The sequence below is a fragment of the Homo sapiens genome, chromosome 2 (genome assembly GCF_000001405.40).
Source record: "Homo sapiens chromosome 2, GRCh38.p14 Primary Assembly".
Taxonomy (NCBI): domain Eukaryota; kingdom Metazoa; phylum Chordata; class Mammalia; order Primates; family Hominidae; genus Homo; species Homo sapiens.
Window position 1 is genome coordinate 40231628 of NC_000002.12, and position 18749 is coordinate 40250376.

An 18749-nucleotide genomic window follows, 5' to 3' on the forward strand; every position below is an offset into this window, starting at 1 on the left:
CCCCTCACACTGATCTCCTCCCCTGAGCTTTGGACAATTATATTCTCTCATCTCTTTCACATAAATCGCACTTGGAAGACAAACTCCTCAGGTTAAGCTGCCATCTGGTGTGTGTATTTTTCATCAAGAACTAGCAACACCCACATCAATAGCATCCACCTTTACCATCACCTATATAAGCAACTTACTTTGGGAACCTATTTCCTTATTTCAGCATTCTCATTTGAATCAATCTAGCCTAGGTTAGGGACACTGGAACCAAACTTGGCTGTCCCTGGACTGGCCTGGGATACCTATAATATAGGAGGGACTCGACGAGGAACTGGAGGTGTGAGAGCAAATAGGAATAAGATACAGTTTCTGAGATGAAGAATCTAATAAAATCCAATAGAATGGGGCTGTGTCCTAAGATGAAGCAGGCCAGGAAGATTTTAGCAGGAAATGGGTCCAGTTCAAAAAATCAAGCAAGGCTTGGGAGAGGTGGTAGATCACTGAAGGTCAAAGCACAAAGGATCAGGATCTAGTAAACGGGCTTTGGAAACGGAAAACCTTAGGAGACCCTGAACATTTCAAAAAGACATTTGTGCTCTACCTTCTTTCAAACTCTTAACTCTGGGCACCTACACTGTAGAGATGTAACAGAAGGCAGAAGAAATCAGGGGCATACAGGTAGGTGTGTCATCTTTTGGTTGGCACATAGATGTTCTGATTACAGACAGATTGTATTATTTTAAGAGAGATGGGGCATGTGAATATGGTGCAAGTTATTTTTTTTTTGTCTTCAGTTTTTTTTTCAAGGGATAGCAAGGTTTATATAGAGTGGTGTGCCTTTCGAATGGCCTCTATTTACACAAAGAGATTGGGGATTAGGGGAGGATAGGGAAGGGAATTTAACCTTACATCCTCACATTGAATGGCCTTTGTGGAAGCAGTCCTAATAATTTTCCATTACTGTCCAACTTTGTATTCTGTTTTTTTTTTTTTTTATATACTTTAAGTTTTAGGGTACATGTGCACATTGTGCAGGTTAGTTACATACGTATACATGTGCCATGCTGGTGTGCTGCACCCACTAACTCGTCATCTAGCATTAGGTATATCTCCCAGTGCTATCCCTCCCCCCCCGCCACCCCACAACAGTCCCCAGAGTGTGATATTCCCCTTCCTGTGTCCATGTGATCTCATTGTTCAATTCCCACCTATGAGTGAGAATATGCGGTGTTTGGTTTTTTGTTCTTGCGATAGTTTACTGAGAATGATGGTTTCCAATTTCATCCATGTCCCTACAAAGGACATGAACTCATCCTTTTTTATGGCTGCATAGTATTCCATGGTGTATATGTGCCACATTTTCTTAATCCAGTCTATCATTGTTGGACATTTGGGTTGGTTCCAAGTCTTTGCTATCGTGAATAATGCTGCAGTAAACATACGTGTGCATGTGTCTTTATAGCAGCATGATTTATAGTCCTTTGGGTATATACCCAGTAATGGGATGGCTGGGTCAAATGGTGTTTCCAGTTCTAGATCCCTGAGGAATGGCCACACTGACTTCCACAATGGTTGAACTAGTTTACAGTCCCACCAACAGTGTAAAAGTGTTCCTATTTCTCCACATCCTCTCCAGCTCCTGTTGTTTCCTGACTTTTTAATGATCACCATTCTAACTGGTGTGAGATGGTATCTCATGGTTTTGATTTGCATTTCTCTGATGGCCAGTGATGATGAGCATTTTTTCATGTGTTTTTTGGCTGCATAAATGTCTTCTTTTGAGAAGTGTCTGTTCATGTCCTTTGCCCACTTTTTGATGGGGTTGTTTGTTTTTTTCTTGTAAATTTGTTTGAGTTCATTGTAGATTCTGGATATTAGCCCTTTGTCAGATGAGTAGGTTGCGAAAATTTTCTCCCATTCTGTAGGTTGCCTGTTCTCTCTGACGGTAGTTTCTTTTCCTGTGCAGAAGCTCTTTATTTTAATTAGTTCCCATTTGTCAATTTTGGCTTTTGTTGTCATTGCTTTTGGTGTTTTAGACATGAAGTCTTTGCCCATGCCTATGTCCTGAATGGTAATGCCTAGGTTTTCTTCTAGGGTTTTTATGGTTTTAGGTCTAACGTTTAAGTCTTTAATCCATCTTGAACTGATTTTTGTATAAGGTGTCAGGAAGGGATCCAGTTTCAGCTTTCTACATATGGCTAGCCAGTTTTCCCAGCACCATTTATTAAATAGGGAATCCTTTCCCCATTGCTTGTTTTTCTCAGGTTTGTCAAAGATCAGATAGTTGTAGATATGCGGCATTATTTCTGAGGGCTCTGTTCTGTTCCATTGATCTATATCTCTGTTTTGGTATCAGTACCATGCTGTTTTGGTTACTGTAGCCTTGTAGTATATAGTTTGAAGTCAGGTAGCGTGATGCCTCCAGCTTTGTTCTTTTGGCTTAGGACTGACTTGGTGATGCAGGCTCTTTTTTGGTTCCATATGAACTTTAAAGTACTTTTTTCCAATTCTGTGAAGAGAGGCATTGGTGGCTTGATGGGGATGGCATTGAATCTGTAAATTACCTTGGGCAGTATGGCCATTTTCATGATATTGATTCTTCCTACCCATGAGCATGGAATGTTCTTCCATTTGTTTGTTTCCTCTTTTATTTCCTTGAGCAGTGGTTTGTAGTTCTCCTTGAAGAGGTCCTTCACATCCCTTGTAAGTTGGATTCCTAGGTATTTTATTCTCTTTGAAGCAATTGTGAATGGGAGTTCACTCATGATTTGGCTCTCTGTTTGTCTGTTGTTGGTGTGTAAGAATGCTTGTGATTTTGGTACATTGATTTTGTATCCTGAGACTTTGCTGAAGTTGCTTATCAGCTTAAGGAGATTTTGGGCTGAGACAATGGGGTTTTCTAGATATACAATCATGTCTTCTGCAAAAAGGGACAATTTGACTTCCTCTTTTCCTAATTGAATACCCTTTATTTCCTTCTCCTGCCTAATTGCCCTGGCCAGAACTTCCAACAATATGTTGAATAGGAGTGGTGAGAGAGGGCATCCCTGTCTTGTGCCAGTTTTCAAAGGGAATGCTTCCAGTTTTTGCCCATTCAGTATGATAGTGGCTGTGGGTTTGTCATAGATAGCTCTTATTATTTTGAAATACGTCCCATCAATACCTAATTTATTGAGAGTTCTTAGCATGAAGGGTTGTTGAATTTTGTCAAAGGCTTTTTCTGCATCTATTGAGATAATCATGTGGTTTTTGTCTTTGGCTCTGTTTATATGCTGGATTATATTTATTGATTTGCGTATATTGAACCAGCCTTGCATCCCAGGGATGAAGCCCACTTGATCATGGTGGATAAGCTTTTTGATGTGCTGCTGGATTCGTTTTGCCAGTATTTTATTGAGGATTTTTCATCAATGTTCATCAAGGATATTGGTCTAAAATTCTCTTTTTTGGTTGTGTCTCTGCTTGGCTTTGGTATCAGAATGATGCTGGCTTCATAAAATGAGTTAGGGAGGATTCCCTCTTTTTCTATTGATTGGAATAGTTTCAGAAGGAATGGTACCAGTTCCTCCTTGTACCTCTGGTAGAATTTGGCTGTGAATCCATCTGGTCCTGGACTCTTTTTGGTTGGTAAGCTATTAATTATTGCCACAATTTCAGATCCTGTTGTTGGTCTATTCAGAGATTCAACTTCTTCCTGGTTTAGTCTTGGGAGAGTGTATGTGTCGAGGAATTTATCCATTTCTTCTAGATTTTCTAGTTTATTTGTGTAGAGGTGTTTGTAGTATTCTCTGATGGTAGTTTGTATTTCTGTGGGATCGGTGGTGATATCCCCTTTATCATTTTTTATTGCGTCTATTTGAGTCTTCTCTCTTTTTTTCTTTATTAGTCTTGCTAGTGGTCTATCAATTTTGTTGATCCTTTCAAAAAACCAGCTCCTGGATTCATTAATTTTTTGAAGGGTTTTTGGTGTCTCTATTTCCTTCAGTTCTGCTCTGATTTTAGTTATTTCTTGCCTTCTGCTAGCTTTTGAATGTGTTTGCTCTTGCTTTTCTAGTTCTTTTAATGGTGATGTTAGGGTGTCAATTTTGGATCTTTCCTGCTTTCTCTTGTGGGCATTTAGTGCTATAAATTTCCCTCTACACACTGCTTTGAATGCATCCCAGAGATTCTGGTATGTTGTGTCTTTGTTCTCGTTGGTTTCAAAGAACATCTTTATTTCTGCCTTCATTTCGTTATGTACCCAGTAGTCATTCAGGAGCAGGTTGTTCAGTTTCCATGTAGTTGAGGGGTTTTGAGTGAGATTCTTAATCCTGAGTTCTAGTTTGATTGCACTGTGGTCTGAGAGATAGTTTGTTATAATTTCTGTTCTTTTACATTTGCTGAGGAGAGCTTTACTTCCAAGTATGTGGTCAATTTTGGAAGAGGTGTGGTGTGGTGCTGAAAAAAATGTATATTCTGTTGATTTGGGGTGGACAGTTCTGTAGATGTCTATTAGGTCCGCTTGGTGCAGAGCTGAGTTCAATTCCTGGGTATCCTTGTTGACTTTCTGTCTTGTTGATCTGTCTAATGTTGACAGTGGGGTGTTAAAGTCTCCCATTATTAATGTGTGGGAGTCTAAGTCTCTTTGAAGGTCACTCAGGACTTGCTTTATGAATCTGGGTGCTCCTGTATTGGGTGCATATATATTTAGGATAGTTAGCTCTTCTTGTTGAATTGATCTCTTTACCATTATGTAATGGCCTTCTTTGTCTCTTTTGATCTTTGTTGGTTTAAGGTCTGTTTTATCAGAGACTAGGATTGCAAACCCTGCCTTTTTTTGTTTTCCATTTGTTTGGCAGATCTTCCTCCATCCTTTTATTTTGAGCCTATGTGTGTCTCTGCACGTGAGATGGGTTTCCTGAATACAGCACACTGATGGGTCTTGACTCTTTATCCAATTTGCCAGTCTGTGTCTTTTAATTGGAGCATTTAGTCCATTTACATTTAAAGTTAATATTGTTATGTGTGAATTTGATCCTGTCATTATGATGTTAGCTGGTTATTTTGCTCGTTAGTTGATGCAGTTTCTTCCTAGTCTCAATGGTCTTTACAATTTGGCATGATTTTGCAGCCGCTGGTACTGGTTGTTCCTTCCCATGTTTAGTGCTTCCTTCAGGAGCTCTTTTAGGGCAGGCCTGGTGGTGACAAAATCTCTCAGCATTTGCTTGTCTGTAAAGTATTTTATTTCTCCTTCGCTTATGAAGCTTAGTTTGGCTGGATATGAAATTCTGGGTTGAAAATTCTTTTCTTTAAGAATGTTGAACATTGGCCCCCACTCTCTTCTGGCTTGTAGGGTTTCTGCCGAGAGATCCGCTGTTAGTCTGATGGGCTTCCCTTTGAGGGTAACCCGACCTTTCTCTCTGGTTGCCCTTAACATTTTTTTTTTCCTTCATTTCAACTTTGGTGAATCTGACAATTATGTGTCTTGGAGTTGCTCTTCTCGAGGAGTATCTTTGTGGCGTTCTCTGTATTTCCTGAATCTGAACGTTGGCCTGCCTTGCTAGATTGGGGAAGTTCTCCTGGATAATATCCTGCAGCTTGTTTTCCAACTTGGTTCCATTGTCCCCATCGCTTTCAGGTACACCAATCAGACGTAGATTTGGTCTTTTCACATAGTCCCATATTTCTTGGAGGCTTTGCTCATTTCTTTTTATTCTTTTTTCTCTAAACTTCCCTTCTCACTTCATTTCATTCATTTCATCTTCCATTGCTGACACCCTTTCTTCCAGTTGATTGCATCAGCTCCTGAGGCTTCTGCATTCTTCACGTAGTTCTTGAGCCTTGGTTTTCAGCTCCATCAGCTACTTTAAGCATTTCTCTGTATTGGTTATTCTAGTTATACATTCTTCTAAATTTTTTTCAAAGTTTTCAACTTCTTTGCCTTTGGTTTGAATGTCCTCCCGTAGCTCAGAGTAATTTGATCGTCTGAAGCCTTCTTCTCTCAGCTCATCAAAGTCATTCTCCATCCAGCTTTGTTCCGTTGCTGGTGAGGAACTGTGTTCCTTTGGAGGAGGAGAGGCGCTCTGCTTTTTAGAGTTTCCAGTTTTTCTGTTCTGTTTTTTCCCCATCTTTGTGGTTTTATCTACTTTTGGTCTTTGATGATGGTGATGTACAGATGGGTTTTTGGTGTGGACGTCCTTTCTGTTTGTTAGTTTTCCTTCTAACAGACAGGACCCTCAGCTGCAGGTCTGTTGGAATACCCTGCCATGGGAGGTGTCAGTGTGCCCCTGCTGGGGGGTGCCTCCCAGTTAGGCTGCTCGGGGGTCAGGGGTCAGGGACCCACTTGGGGAGGCAGTCTGCCCGTTCTCAGATCTCCAGCTGCGTGCTGGGAGAACCACTGCTCTCTTCAAAGCTGTCAGACAGGGACATTTAAGTCTGCAAAAGTTACTGCTGTCTTTTTGTTTGTCTGTGCCCTGCCCCCAGAGGTGGAGCCTACAGAGGCAGGCAGGCCTCCTTGAGCTGTGGTGGACTCCACCCAGTTCGAGCTTCCCGGCTGCTTTGTTTACCTAATCAAGCCTGGGCAATGGCGGGCGCCCCTCCCCCAGCCTCGCTGCCGCCTTGCAGTTTGATCTCAGACTGCTGTGCTAGCAATCAGTGAGACTCCGTGGGCGTAGGACCCTCCCAGCCAGGTGCGGGATATAATCTCGTGGTGGGCCGTTTTTTAAGCCCGTTGGAAAAGCGCAGTATTCGGGTGGGAGTGACCCGATTTTCCAGGTGCTGTCCGTCACCCCTTTCTTTGACTCGGAAGGGAAACTCCCTGACCCCTTGCACTTCCCAAGTGAGGCAATGCTCGCCCTGCTTCGGCTCGCACACGGTGCGCGCACCCACTGACCTGTGCCCACTGTCTGGCACTCCCTAGTGAGATGAACCCAGTACCTCAGATGGAAATGCAGAAATCGCCCGTCTTCTGCGTCGCTCACGCTGGGAGCTGTAGACCGGAGCTGTTCCTATTCGGCCATCTTGGCTCCTCGATCGTCTTCTGTTTCTTACTGGCAATATTCCCCAAGCTAGAGCTATGCAATCAGTCTTCTATATTCCTTAAATCTGTATAGTCTATTGTAAAGTTAAGTATGAGTTTCTATTATATAAATTAACTCAAGTATTGTTCAGAGATTTTACTTATATAAATTTTTTTTCATCTGGAGGAAATTAATGTATATCATTATATATAGAAGCCATTTTCTCCTGAAAGTAACAATGTAGGTACTTTGATGTTATTTGCAGTGAAATTTACCTTTACAGGGATAACTGCAGTAACCTTTTAAATGAACATATGTATATATGTGAACTTGCACCTGTTATTGTTGTCATGGAAACAGTTCCAAAACATAAGATACAATTCTATTATTGAGGCAGTATAGTTCCCCAAATGAATTTTAATGAAATTGCAGCAGAAAAAAAAAAAAGAATTTTATGGAGGCTTCTAAATTATTTAGTAAAGTTTGCCAACTAGAATCTGACTACATCATACCATAGTAATCTTCACCTAAAAAGGAAACAACAGTCAGCAAATGTCAATCATGCAAAAAGGGGCATAAAGTAGGTTTATTTAAAAAGTGAACACAGTACCCCAATTCTAGCTTTTTAGTGTCTATCTTTAATATTGCCCAATCACTACTCCTATTGTTGATGGAAGTATATTTGACCATTAGCTGTCTGAGTGGCACACACCAAGATCACTGAGTTATCTGGATTTTTTTCCTAGTTTCTGTCATCTTTGGGCTTTCTATTGACATGAGGTGAATAGATTTAGGGCTAGAATGTTTTAAATGCTGAGAGACCTAAAGGACCTCTATTTCAACCCATTGCATTACAGATTAGGGAACCAATGCCTAAAAAAGTTAGGTGATTTGTCTGAGGTACACAAGTAAATGTGGCAGGGCTGCATTAGGGGTTGGGTTTCTGACTCTCCTCCTCCCATGCACAGTCACTGTGCTGCCTCGTGAAATACAGCCCTCTCTGCTGCCAGTTACAACTGGTGCATTCTACTCCAGCCTGGGCAACAGAGCAAGACTCTGTCTCAAAAAAACAAAAACAAAAACAAAAAAACTGGTGCATTCTTTCATAAAGGAAAGAAATCAAATTCTGAATGTGAATACCTGAATTTTCATTCCCCACTTACATTGTTACAGGAGTGAAGTACAATTTGCTTAATGAAATAAAATTTCAGTATCCTCCTTAGTGTATGTATCTCCTCACTAAATATGTTGATTGCATGTAGATTACTTCTTTTACCCATGGAAACCGAACGAATATCTTAATGTAAGAAGAGTAGTTTTCTCAATTTGTAACCACTGCTTCACCTCTTCTGTAATCCGAAGTCATGTGAATGAAATGTCCCAGGCTCATAATGAAGCCAACTGTGAAACCAGCGCTTACCTCCAAGTCAAGAGCCTGGGAAACATCTATGGAGCTTAGCTTAAAACTATCTGATGATGAATTGGGACTCCAGTATATCATTTTGTGCACACAGTTATGGCATAATATTTGGGGGAAAGGAAGCCTTCACAGTTATAAAATATGAGTGGGAAATGATTATCCCTAGATACAGAGAGTACTTATTATGTAACTGTTGTTAAGGGCTGACGACATGGCAGGCTCTGTGCCAAGTCAAGTCTCCGACGGAGCGGAGGACTCCCCAGGCTCTAGAAGGCCCCTGAGACAGTGTGTCATACAGTGATGAGGGGTAGAAAATACTCTAACCATTCAGGATGTGATTGTTTTGGCTTCCTCTCGGCTGAGCTTTTGGCACTTGAACTGGACCCAATGCAACACCACAGCTGGGAAATGACATTATTTGGATTGGTTAAGAGGAGTTTTTGAAGCAAACCCCACTGTAGTATTAGAGAAATAAAAAAATTCCTGCTATATCCAACAAGTCCCAGAGAGGCTGTCTCTCTATTGTTCACATGTTTGGACATGAATGTGCATTTATGAACACTTTTTTGTATAAATACACAGATATATAAGCTATGCAAAGCCATATAAATCTGTACTACTAGAATAATTCATTCCATAAATATTTCTTGAGCATTCACTACATACCAAGCACATTTTTCTAGTTTAAAAGTGAAGTCGGGCATGGCAGCTCCTGCCTGTACTCCCAGCTACTTAGGAGACTGAGGCAGGAGGATTGCATGAACCTAGGAGTTCAAGGCTGCAGTGAACCATGATCATTGCCATTGCACTACTGCCTGGATGACAGAATGATACCCCGACTCAAAAAAAAGTGACCCACATGTGTATTTGTCACTTTTAAAATAGAGACAATAAATTTCTTCCGTGATTTTTAAAGAACTTAAAACAGAGGTACTATTCAACCCAGCAATCCCATTATTGGGTATATACCCAAAGGAAAATAAATCATTCTACCAAAAAGGCACATGGACTTGCACGTTCATCACTATGCCATTCACAATAGCAAAGGCATGGAATCAAGTCAGGTGCCCATCAACAGTGGATTGGATAAAGCTAATACGGTATATATACACCATGGAATATTACACAGCCATAAAAAAGAACAAAATCATGGTTTTTGCAGTGATATGGATGCAAGTGGAGGCCATAATCCTCAGCGAATTAACACAGCAACAGAAAACCAAATACCACGTGTTCTCACTTACAAATGGGAGATAATCACTGAGCATACACGGACATAAACGTGGGTATAATAGACACTCTGGACTACCTGGAATAGGGGGCATGGGTTGAAAAACTACTTTATCAGTACTGTACTCAGTACCTGAATGACGAGATCCACACCCCAAACTTCAGCATCACACAATAAACCCGCACATGTACCCCCTCCGTCAAAAATAAAAGTTGAAATTTAAATAATAAATTCCTTCCTCACAGGTATTAAAAAGCACAATGTGAGTAAAGTACCTGATATGTGACCATAAATACCTGTCCCCCTTTGACCTCTTCTTTGCCCTCCCCTAACCTTGAGGTGTGATTAACCTTCCTGCCTTTTCAAATTCTGAAGACCACAACAGAGTAGGGAAAGAAGAGTGTGAAGGTGGTCCATCTAATCCCAATTCAGAGCCTGGGACAGACACCCATACTGAATCCTCTACTTTAGAAAAGAACTCCACAGGCTTTGAGAGTGACCTGTCACTTGTCATAGCCCCTAAGGACTATGAGCTTTTTCACCATAAGCATTGCCTATTTGTTCCAATCTAGTAAGATCAGATTTATCAACAGACAGAAAAATAGATATCAGTTTTTTTCTTATTCTAAAAACAATATGTTTATGTTGTTGAATACTGGGATAAAATATAGAAAATATTAATTATTCATAATTCCTAATCCAAGCAGTGTTCCACTCAATAATTTGATCTATTTCCTATAGTTTGCTACTAACTTCGGGGCAGATCTCCAGAAAATAAATATTGATGGGGCTATGATGTCTCCATTTTGACTAAATATATTGTTATATAAAGTGGTAACGCCTTACAATTTAAGTGTGAGAAGGATGTGTGTGTGTGTGCGTGTGTGTGTGTGAGAGAGAGACAGAGAATATGAATATGAATATGACAATACTTTGGAGAAATGTGTCCATTAGAATTTTACCACAAGCCAGACTGAAAACATCAAAGATGTTTAAGTAAAGCCTGTTTAGTTCTTTGTGAATGTAATTTTGGAAAACAAACTAAAACATAAAGATAAAAGGTCCACATTTCCTTTCATATTTGCAAATAAGGCTTATTTCATGAATGGTGAAATCGCTTTGTGTAATTTGTAACCTCATTGTTGTCCTGGATTGCCTGCCATGCTGCCTGTGTTTATGTTGCTTCTCCCTATGGCATGTGCTCTGAGCAGACAAGGGTATAATTATAAATCTCCATCCACTAACAAGAACAATGGTTGCATCCAGCAACTCGACTCTCCCTTTGTGAAGCTCTACAGGGATACCGTCTTGAATGTCAAAGGTCTACAAATGTCATAGAAACAGCTGCCACCACTTCTTTGCATTAGGCATCTCTTTCAACATTTACTCATGGTATTGCCTTACCCATCTAGGCAGAAGCAAACCAAAATCCAGAGATTTTAAAATATGGTATCTATAATTACAAGAAACAACAAGAAACCAAAGAGGAATACAAATACAACCATGCCTTGTGTTTCAAGACTTTCTAGACTTGCTTAGAAAAAAAGAGACTAAATTTTTGTCTCTGGGCAAAGTTAGTCAGACGAGAAAGACAAACTTCACATGCAAGGTATACTTTTTGCTGTCTCCATTTTTATAAAAGCAAAGTTAATGAGGCTTTGATCTTTATTCCATAGTTATTAAGATTATTTTCCTAAATCTGAGATCATTGCAGAGATATACAAGGTAGTTCTGCCAAATCATTCATTCATTCCTTCACCAAACGTGGATACGAGTGTCTACTGAATGTCCAGTAAAAGCAGGAATACAGACATTGAAGGCTCATTTCATTGCCCTTAGTTTCTACATATCATAGCTGTGATGCATGGAATATTAAGGAAACCCCTAAATCTTTAACTGAGTTAATTCACAACTTACCAGAGCTATTTTCAATTCATGAAAATAAAGGCCAGGCGTGTAATCCCAGCACTCTGGGAGGCCAAAGTGGGTGGATTGCTTGAGCCTCAGGAGTTCAAGACCAGCCTGGGCAACATGATAAAACCCTGCCTCTACCAAAAATACAAATAAATAAATAAACTGGGCATGGTAGTGTCTGCGGTCCCACCTACTTGAGAGCTGAGATGGGAGGATCACTTGAGCCTAGGAGGTAGATGTTATAGTGACCAAGATCACCCCACTGTACTCCAACCTTGGTGACAAAGTGAGACCCTGTCTCAAAAAAGAGAAAAAGAAAAGAAAGATTTCTCAAGTCTAAGTTCAGTATTTAAGAAAAAATAAAAAGTAACATCATGGCTTTGAGCTTGATTTTACCTCTGTTTTAGACTAAGAAGTCTATTCAAATGGAGCCTATGGCCCTGTAACCTGGCTCTGGGAAAATGAACAAAGGAATGCAACATCACATCAGCACTGTGTATTTTTGGAAGGGTATTGCATTTTTCCTTTGTGGTGGATTGGTCCGTGCACTTGAAAATACATTCACAGTGGGAAGGCACCAACTCTGCTGCACATTTATAGTTGAATCTATTTTTTTTCCTGACAAATATTCAAGTGGGGGAGGAATTCCATGTGAATGCTCTAGTGCCTCCTTCCCTCTGATGAGTCTAAGTGCTAGATAAACAAACATTATTTCTAAAACCTCAAGGGGAATACTTGAAACTGGAGCAACGTAAGAGGAAAAGTGGGCAGAATGGATAGCTTCTAGGGAGACTGTGACATTTCTGAGTAATTACTGAGGGGTCTAGGGTCTGGGGGACAACGCTCCCATCAGCAGCCCTTTTGTTATTAAAAAAAATGAACATCTGAGCAATTTAATGGAAAGTGCTGTGAAAACACAGCTGCAAGCCTTACATTCTTACCAGATCACCTCCTCTAAGCTTTCCTATGTAGAAATTTTGAAGCTTTCCTGGTATCTCCTCACTAGGGGGTTAGGAAGTAAGTAAATACACTGCACTCTTGGTTTAGTGGTGGGAGATACATTAGGAAAGCGTCAGTGCACATGAAGAGACCCACAGGCTAACAGCCATCATTTACTGAGCATCTACTACGTGAGTCTCCTTCTGAGCGTTTCCACATCTATTATCTCTTTAAATTTCCCAACAACACTAAGGTAATGACAGCCTTTCCTGCTGACCTATGAAGGCCAGGCTGGGAGTTGTCCGATGACTTTTCCTGTATAATGTCACCCCAGGGGAAGACGTTACTCTGATTTTTCCACCTCATGTTTTTCCCTGGCAGTTGCTGTGAGAGAATGTTGTTTTTGGAGCTGAGTAGGCAAGTGGTGTGCATGATATGAAAAACCAAAAAAAAAAAAAAAAAAAAAATGCACCAAACCCCACAAACTTTCTGACAGAAAGCACTCGTCAATTTTAGCCTGTCTATGCAATGATCGAGGCCTTTTCCTACTGCTGGATATTTCTAAGTGAGAAGATCCTACCTCAGTTTTCAGCTGGGCTTTAGCTCTGCAAGAAGTGCTGCCCCAGTCAGCCTTGGGGAGATCAGTAGAGGATTAGTTAGCAGAGCAGCCACTGGAGGGCACTCCTGAAATCTAGAGGCTTCTTCCTCCCGAGGAAAGGGTTGCTGGAGTCCCTGCCTGAGACTGTGGGTTTAACAAAGAGAAGGAATGTCTGGGGGATAAGTCCCAGTGCACTCATTCTCTGGAAAAGGTCTGCTGTACATATTTGCCAAGTGATAAGGAACCTAGGAAATCAAAAACCATTTGACAATTTACAGTGTTCAAAGGTAGCTTCCTGACTCTTGAGTTACATAAATGGCTATGTTAAAAATAGGCAGCCAATATAATTGAGCAACCTTAAATGGCCTAGGATATGTACCATATGTGATAGCCATGAAAATAATCAAAAGAATAATTCAGTATAAATTAGGAATCATTCCCACTCCAGTGGACTCAGTCTTATGGAAGTGGCACATAGGAGAAACTTGGGATTCTGTGATTTGTGCTGTTCATGTACAGGTCTCTCTCTCCCTAGTGAAACTCAGCTCTTTAGTTTGGGAGCCTATACCGGATCTCTCTGATATCCCTCTCCAGCTCTAAACATATACTACGTAGTCACACTGATTGTCCGTTAAATACATTCAAGTCGTTATTTTCCTTATGACAAAATTCACAGTGAAAGGCCACGTGTCCACCAGAAGAATAAGGTGCAAATCTAAAGTGGGTTAGTGGCATTTTCTCAGGACAGAGTGCATGGGAGGACAACATAGCAATCCTGGAAGTTGACAGGGTAAAACTTTTGGACACTCTGACTCTGTGCTGTATGTACCTGTTTGCTTCTGCTTTGAAAATAACTAGTAATATACAAGATCCACTTGAACCACTGAATTTAGCAAAATCAGGCCAAACCAGACGTCTTTGCATTAATATTGTCATTTTGTTTTATATTACTTAAAAAGTCAAACTTTTTTTTTTTTAATCATTCCTTCTCTTGACTATCTGCTGCTCTCCTGTGATGTATATTGTGAAAAACACATTTTAAAACCAAGACAGATATCTCAAGATAGACATCATGTTCAGTTTCTAAGCTACAATTAAATCTCGTAGAATGGTAAGAGGTTTATATCAGACTGTTGACTGCTTTATATACATTACTTTCATTCGAGACTCATTTCATGGATGAGGAAACTGATGTTTACATAAGTCAAGGAACTTGACCAAGGTTACATAGTTATAAGAAGCTGAGCTAGGACCCTACAGGTCCATCTCAGAGACCTATGATGTTAATCATTATGCCATATGACCTGTCTTAGACTAGTTTAAGAAATAGCTTCTCAATTAACCTCTCTTCTTTTAAAAGTGTTCATAGGTTTTAATTCCTTTTTTTTCTGCTTAGGCAATACTTAATTTTTAAACTGTGCACATAGAAGATGAAATGGAAAAATGTATTCCAGATGTAGGTTTTATAGTTGCACATCTTGGATATGGTTGGTTACACATACACTACAAGCATGTGGTACACATCTATCTCATTTTTACTTTAGAAATACATTCTCAACAGGGGAAACTTGAAATACGCAAACTGTGGTCCTGATTCCACTTCAAAACGTCTGCTTTTATTGGGTTTACCCTGCAATCATGCAACTTTTGGCCAGAGTCAAATAGGGCAACTAAATTTTTTTCTTGAGTTTTACTTGGTATGGTTCACTGTAAATGCTTCCAACTAGTCCTAAAGACAGACTTTGTTCATTTGTTCTTCTATGAGTTTTATTCAGCAGAACCTTGGATAACAGCAGCTTAGCCAAACACTGTGGGGTAATCACTCTGCTCAGGACTGATTCCTGTGCAGTCAGTTCTTCTGCACATCTTGCCTTCAAGGTCTGCCAGCTGAATGCACTGTGTTTCCAACATTGCCCTCCAAACAGACCTTTCATAAGGAAAAGTCACTGCTACTTCATTAATTCCAGAAGATGGATGGTGAAGTCATATTGCTTTGATATGCTTTCAGACTCAGGCTGTTCATGGGAAGCTAGAACTCTCTGAAACAGAAAAGTTTTTAAATTCTGGCTACTTTTTCATAGGATTCTATTATGACACCTCAGAGGAATTTTTTTTATTTAAGTCTGTCATTTTAAAGGAAAATGGTTAGATGTGACTAGGGCTGTGAAAACACAGTAGCTACCAGTGCCTGGCAAAGTTTGTACTCTAACATATTTCTGCTAAAAAAAAAAAGAATATTTTCCATTATTGCCTTGGATTCTTTCATCTTTTCTTACATGTTAAGAAACTTAATATCTGAAGAGTGAGAAATAGCCATTTTAGTGTGAAATCATGCTGGGGTGGAAAGGCCAGCATATTTCTTATAGATTAGTATTATAGGAGAGTTTGGCCATTTTCCTGGGCAGAAGCAAGGAGTTGGCACCTTGGAATCAACTCTTAGCCATCTGAAGGCTTTGAGCCTTGGTGAGTTTTCCAACCACAGGGCATTAGCTTTCTGCAGCCTGGAATGGAGCGATCACTATCCCCAGAGAGCTGTCATGGGTGCAGGCAGTGCTCAGCTTGGCTTAGTTCTACCATGGTCCTGAACAGCCAGGCTCTAGGTTAAGCCAAATCCAGAAGTATCTTGTTTTATTTCACTTGCCACGTGTTTGAGAAGGATTAATCTCAGAATATGGCAGAAGCCTTAGCAAAGCAACTTTAGAAAACAGCATATATATGTGTGTGTGTGTGTGTGTGTGGAGAGAGAGAGACAGATCTGAGGCATGGGTTTTACTAATGTTATTATTTAAATAAACCCTTCCTTATGCTAGAGCACCAGATGGTGTTACAAAAATGAGGAAAAAAGGCTCAGGGCATATAAGTCACGTGTCACATTAGCTGTATTGGCCTATGTTCAAATAATAAACATTTTAATCACTGCAGTTTATAACTCTATTTTAAATTTTTTGTTAATACATTAACAGTAACTGCTTACGTATACATAGAATTCTAATAAAAATGCATAAATAACTTACAAGAGGAAAGGGACTTAGGGATTATCCCTGGAAGCCCTCATTTCAAAGGTGAGACCCAGTAGAAACCCAATATGCACAGAAGTTAAGTGACTTTCTGAAAGGTCTTGCAGGTAATTAATTATAGAACAGGACTCCACGTTCAATGCTATGTTCACTATTACCTGAAATAGACTTGGAGGCAAAAATAAACTTATGTCAGCTATACTCAATGCTCAGTAAAGTGGCAGAGCAATATTTTATAAGCGTGTGTTCCGTGAACTCAAATGTGATGTTAGGTAGTGATTCTGAGTCCCTTAAAACAGATTGCTTGATTTATTTAAGGTATGTTCTCTATTACACCAAAAATTGTTTATGGATTTTTTAAAAACTGCACTCCATGGAGTAAGTACCAATTTCTACACTTTTGATGACATTAAGATATGTTAAGAGGCCTGAATGTTCTCAACTATGGATTAAAAATAAAGTACCAATTAGTTGGGTCAGTTTTCTACAGTGATTTGAAATTGATTTCTAAGTTTCCCTATTGCTAATGGCTGAATGTTTATGTTTTCCCAACTCCAAACTCAGAGGTTGAAATCCTAACTCCCAGGGTGATGGGATGAGAAGGTGGGTACCTTTGGGAAGTGATTAGGTCACTCTTAAGAGTGAGGTTAGTGCCCTTATAAAAGAGGCCCTGGACATCTCCCTTGCCCTACCATCACACCACCTGCAGGCACAGCGAAAAGATGGCTGTCTATGAATCAGGAAATTGTACTTCACCAGACACTGACTCTGCCAGAGCCTAGACCTTGGACTTTCTAGCCTCTGGAACTGTGGGAAATACATTTCTGTTGTTATAAGCCACCTAGTCTATGGTTCTTTGTTATAGCAGTCCAAATGAACTAAGATATCTATTGAGGCTTTATTGGGGGAGGTAATAAAATATGTCATTTTTTTCTAGGTTTAACAACCTATATTCAATTCCCCTTTCCGTGATCTATAGTATGGGCATAAATAGACTGTCATGTGTATCCAAATTAAGATGATGGTAGCCAGGAGAAAGATTGAAGGTGGGACTACTGGCTGTTGATAGCCAAGATCTAATTCTGATCTTTAGGGATTTAGGTTCGTTTCTGGTTGGACGGAGTTGTATTATTTATCTATGCATAGTGAAGTAACCTTGTGATCATAATTTCAGAACAAACAAAAAGTCTTCACCTCGTGATGTCTTTTAATTTGATTCCACATCACCAGGGGCAGAATAAGTTTTATTTCTAGGGACATTCATTGAGAACAGGATGACGTGCTGAGTTTCAGATGTGATCAGCTTGCCAACTGTCCCTGGGTCCTTTGTGTCCTGCTGCAATATCTTCTAGGAAACAAACACAATGACGTTTGAAGTTCATCAAGTTCATTGATTAAGCTAAGATCTGCACTACTTTGTCGAAATCTTAAATAGAACAAAAAATGTTTGATGTTATATCTCTCAGAGCTGAAATTAACTGATTAAAGAGTCTCTGTTATGATGTCTATCAATCAAGTAAAAAAATAGGGTTTTGATCTAGAAATGCCTATCCGTTTTTGAGGTATATACTTTCAAAACCTTTTGAAATAAAGAGAACAGTGGTTGCAAAACTTTTAAGTATTTTTACTTTAAAAAAAGGATAGAAACAAAGCAATGTGTCCCATTACATCAGCATTTTTCAAAATTTAGTCTCTGTACTTTCATTTGCATAATTTTCCACTTTCTGTAATATTTTCATAACCCTTAGTGCTTAAATGGGTGGAGAGGCCTGTGCCACAGTCTCCAACAAGGTGTCAAGGGAGAGGAGGTGTTTCTCTTCTCCCAATTCACACCATATTTAGAAGCACTATTCTAGATGATTCCTCTAAAAATATTCAAGCTTTTAGGATCTTGGCTTTGTTTTTTGTAAATTGTACTTAAAGTCAGTGTGACTATTACCATCAATTTGAATAAGTGCAATGTATTTCTCATGTTGCAGGTAGTAAAAATTGCCAACGAATCACTTAAATACTGAGAGGACTGACAAGCTATAATTTATTACTTGGCTCAAAATATGTCTCTACTCTGTATTATCTGCCTAGATCTTACTTAACACAGGAAGGGTGTAGACTTCACTGAAATGACTAATTGATGTTCAATTTGCAGATTTTAATTGAAAAAAATATATTTTGATAAGTAGCAGTACTTGTTTCAAAGGAAGATACCGTTATATTAAAAAGTAAACATCCAAATCTATTGGTCTAGGTCTATACTCAAAACCTTCCGGGTGTATGTATGTGTGAGATATTTTAAAGTAATTCTAACCAAGCCATTGTTCTGTAACCTGACTTAACAAGCTACAGAACAATTCCTTAGCTTAAATTGTTAAAGGGGACATTGTGATGACAAATAAATAAAACGTGTTAGCAGAATAAAAGTTGTCTGGAAATAAGTAAATACTATTTTATAATTTGGGGGAAAGAAATTCAATACAGGGTAAAGAGAACAGGATTTTGGAATTAAGCTGAGTTAAAATTCTTGCTCTGGACAACAGACAAATTACTTAACATGTTTGAATTTCAGTTTTTTATCTACAAGTTGGGAATAATATATGCATTACGAAGAGATTACAAGTACTAACTGGAGAAAACAATCTGAGAC

At 39.5% G+C, this 18749-nt stretch overlaps 1 protein-coding gene and 1 long non-coding RNA gene across 24 annotated transcripts in view, besides 1 other annotated feature; one reads left to right on the forward strand and one right to left on the reverse strand.

The window, feature by feature from the left end:
- SLC8A1-AS1 (SLC8A1 antisense RNA 1) overlaps positions 1-18749 on the forward strand; it is a 337576-nt gene that overhangs the window by 313994 nt on the left and 4833 nt on the right. The window lies entirely within an intron of this gene.
- The window catches only part of SLC8A1 (solute carrier family 8 member A1), a 415166-nt gene that overhangs the window by 134358 nt on the left and 262059 nt on the right, over positions 1-18749 (reverse strand). The gene's annotated exons all lie outside the window — the stretch shown is intronic.
- Positions 10633-11183: an enhancer, noted in NCBI's record as "OCT4-NANOG hESC enhancer chr2:40469400-40469950 (GRCh37/hg19 assembly coordinates)". NCBI's record gives its function as "activates a minimal SCP1, AML or CMV promoter by ChIP-STARR-seq in primed H9 embryonic stem cells {active_cell/tissue: H9 hESC(primed)}" and the evidence as "EXISTENCE:reporter gene assay evidence [ECO:0000049][PMID:30033119]".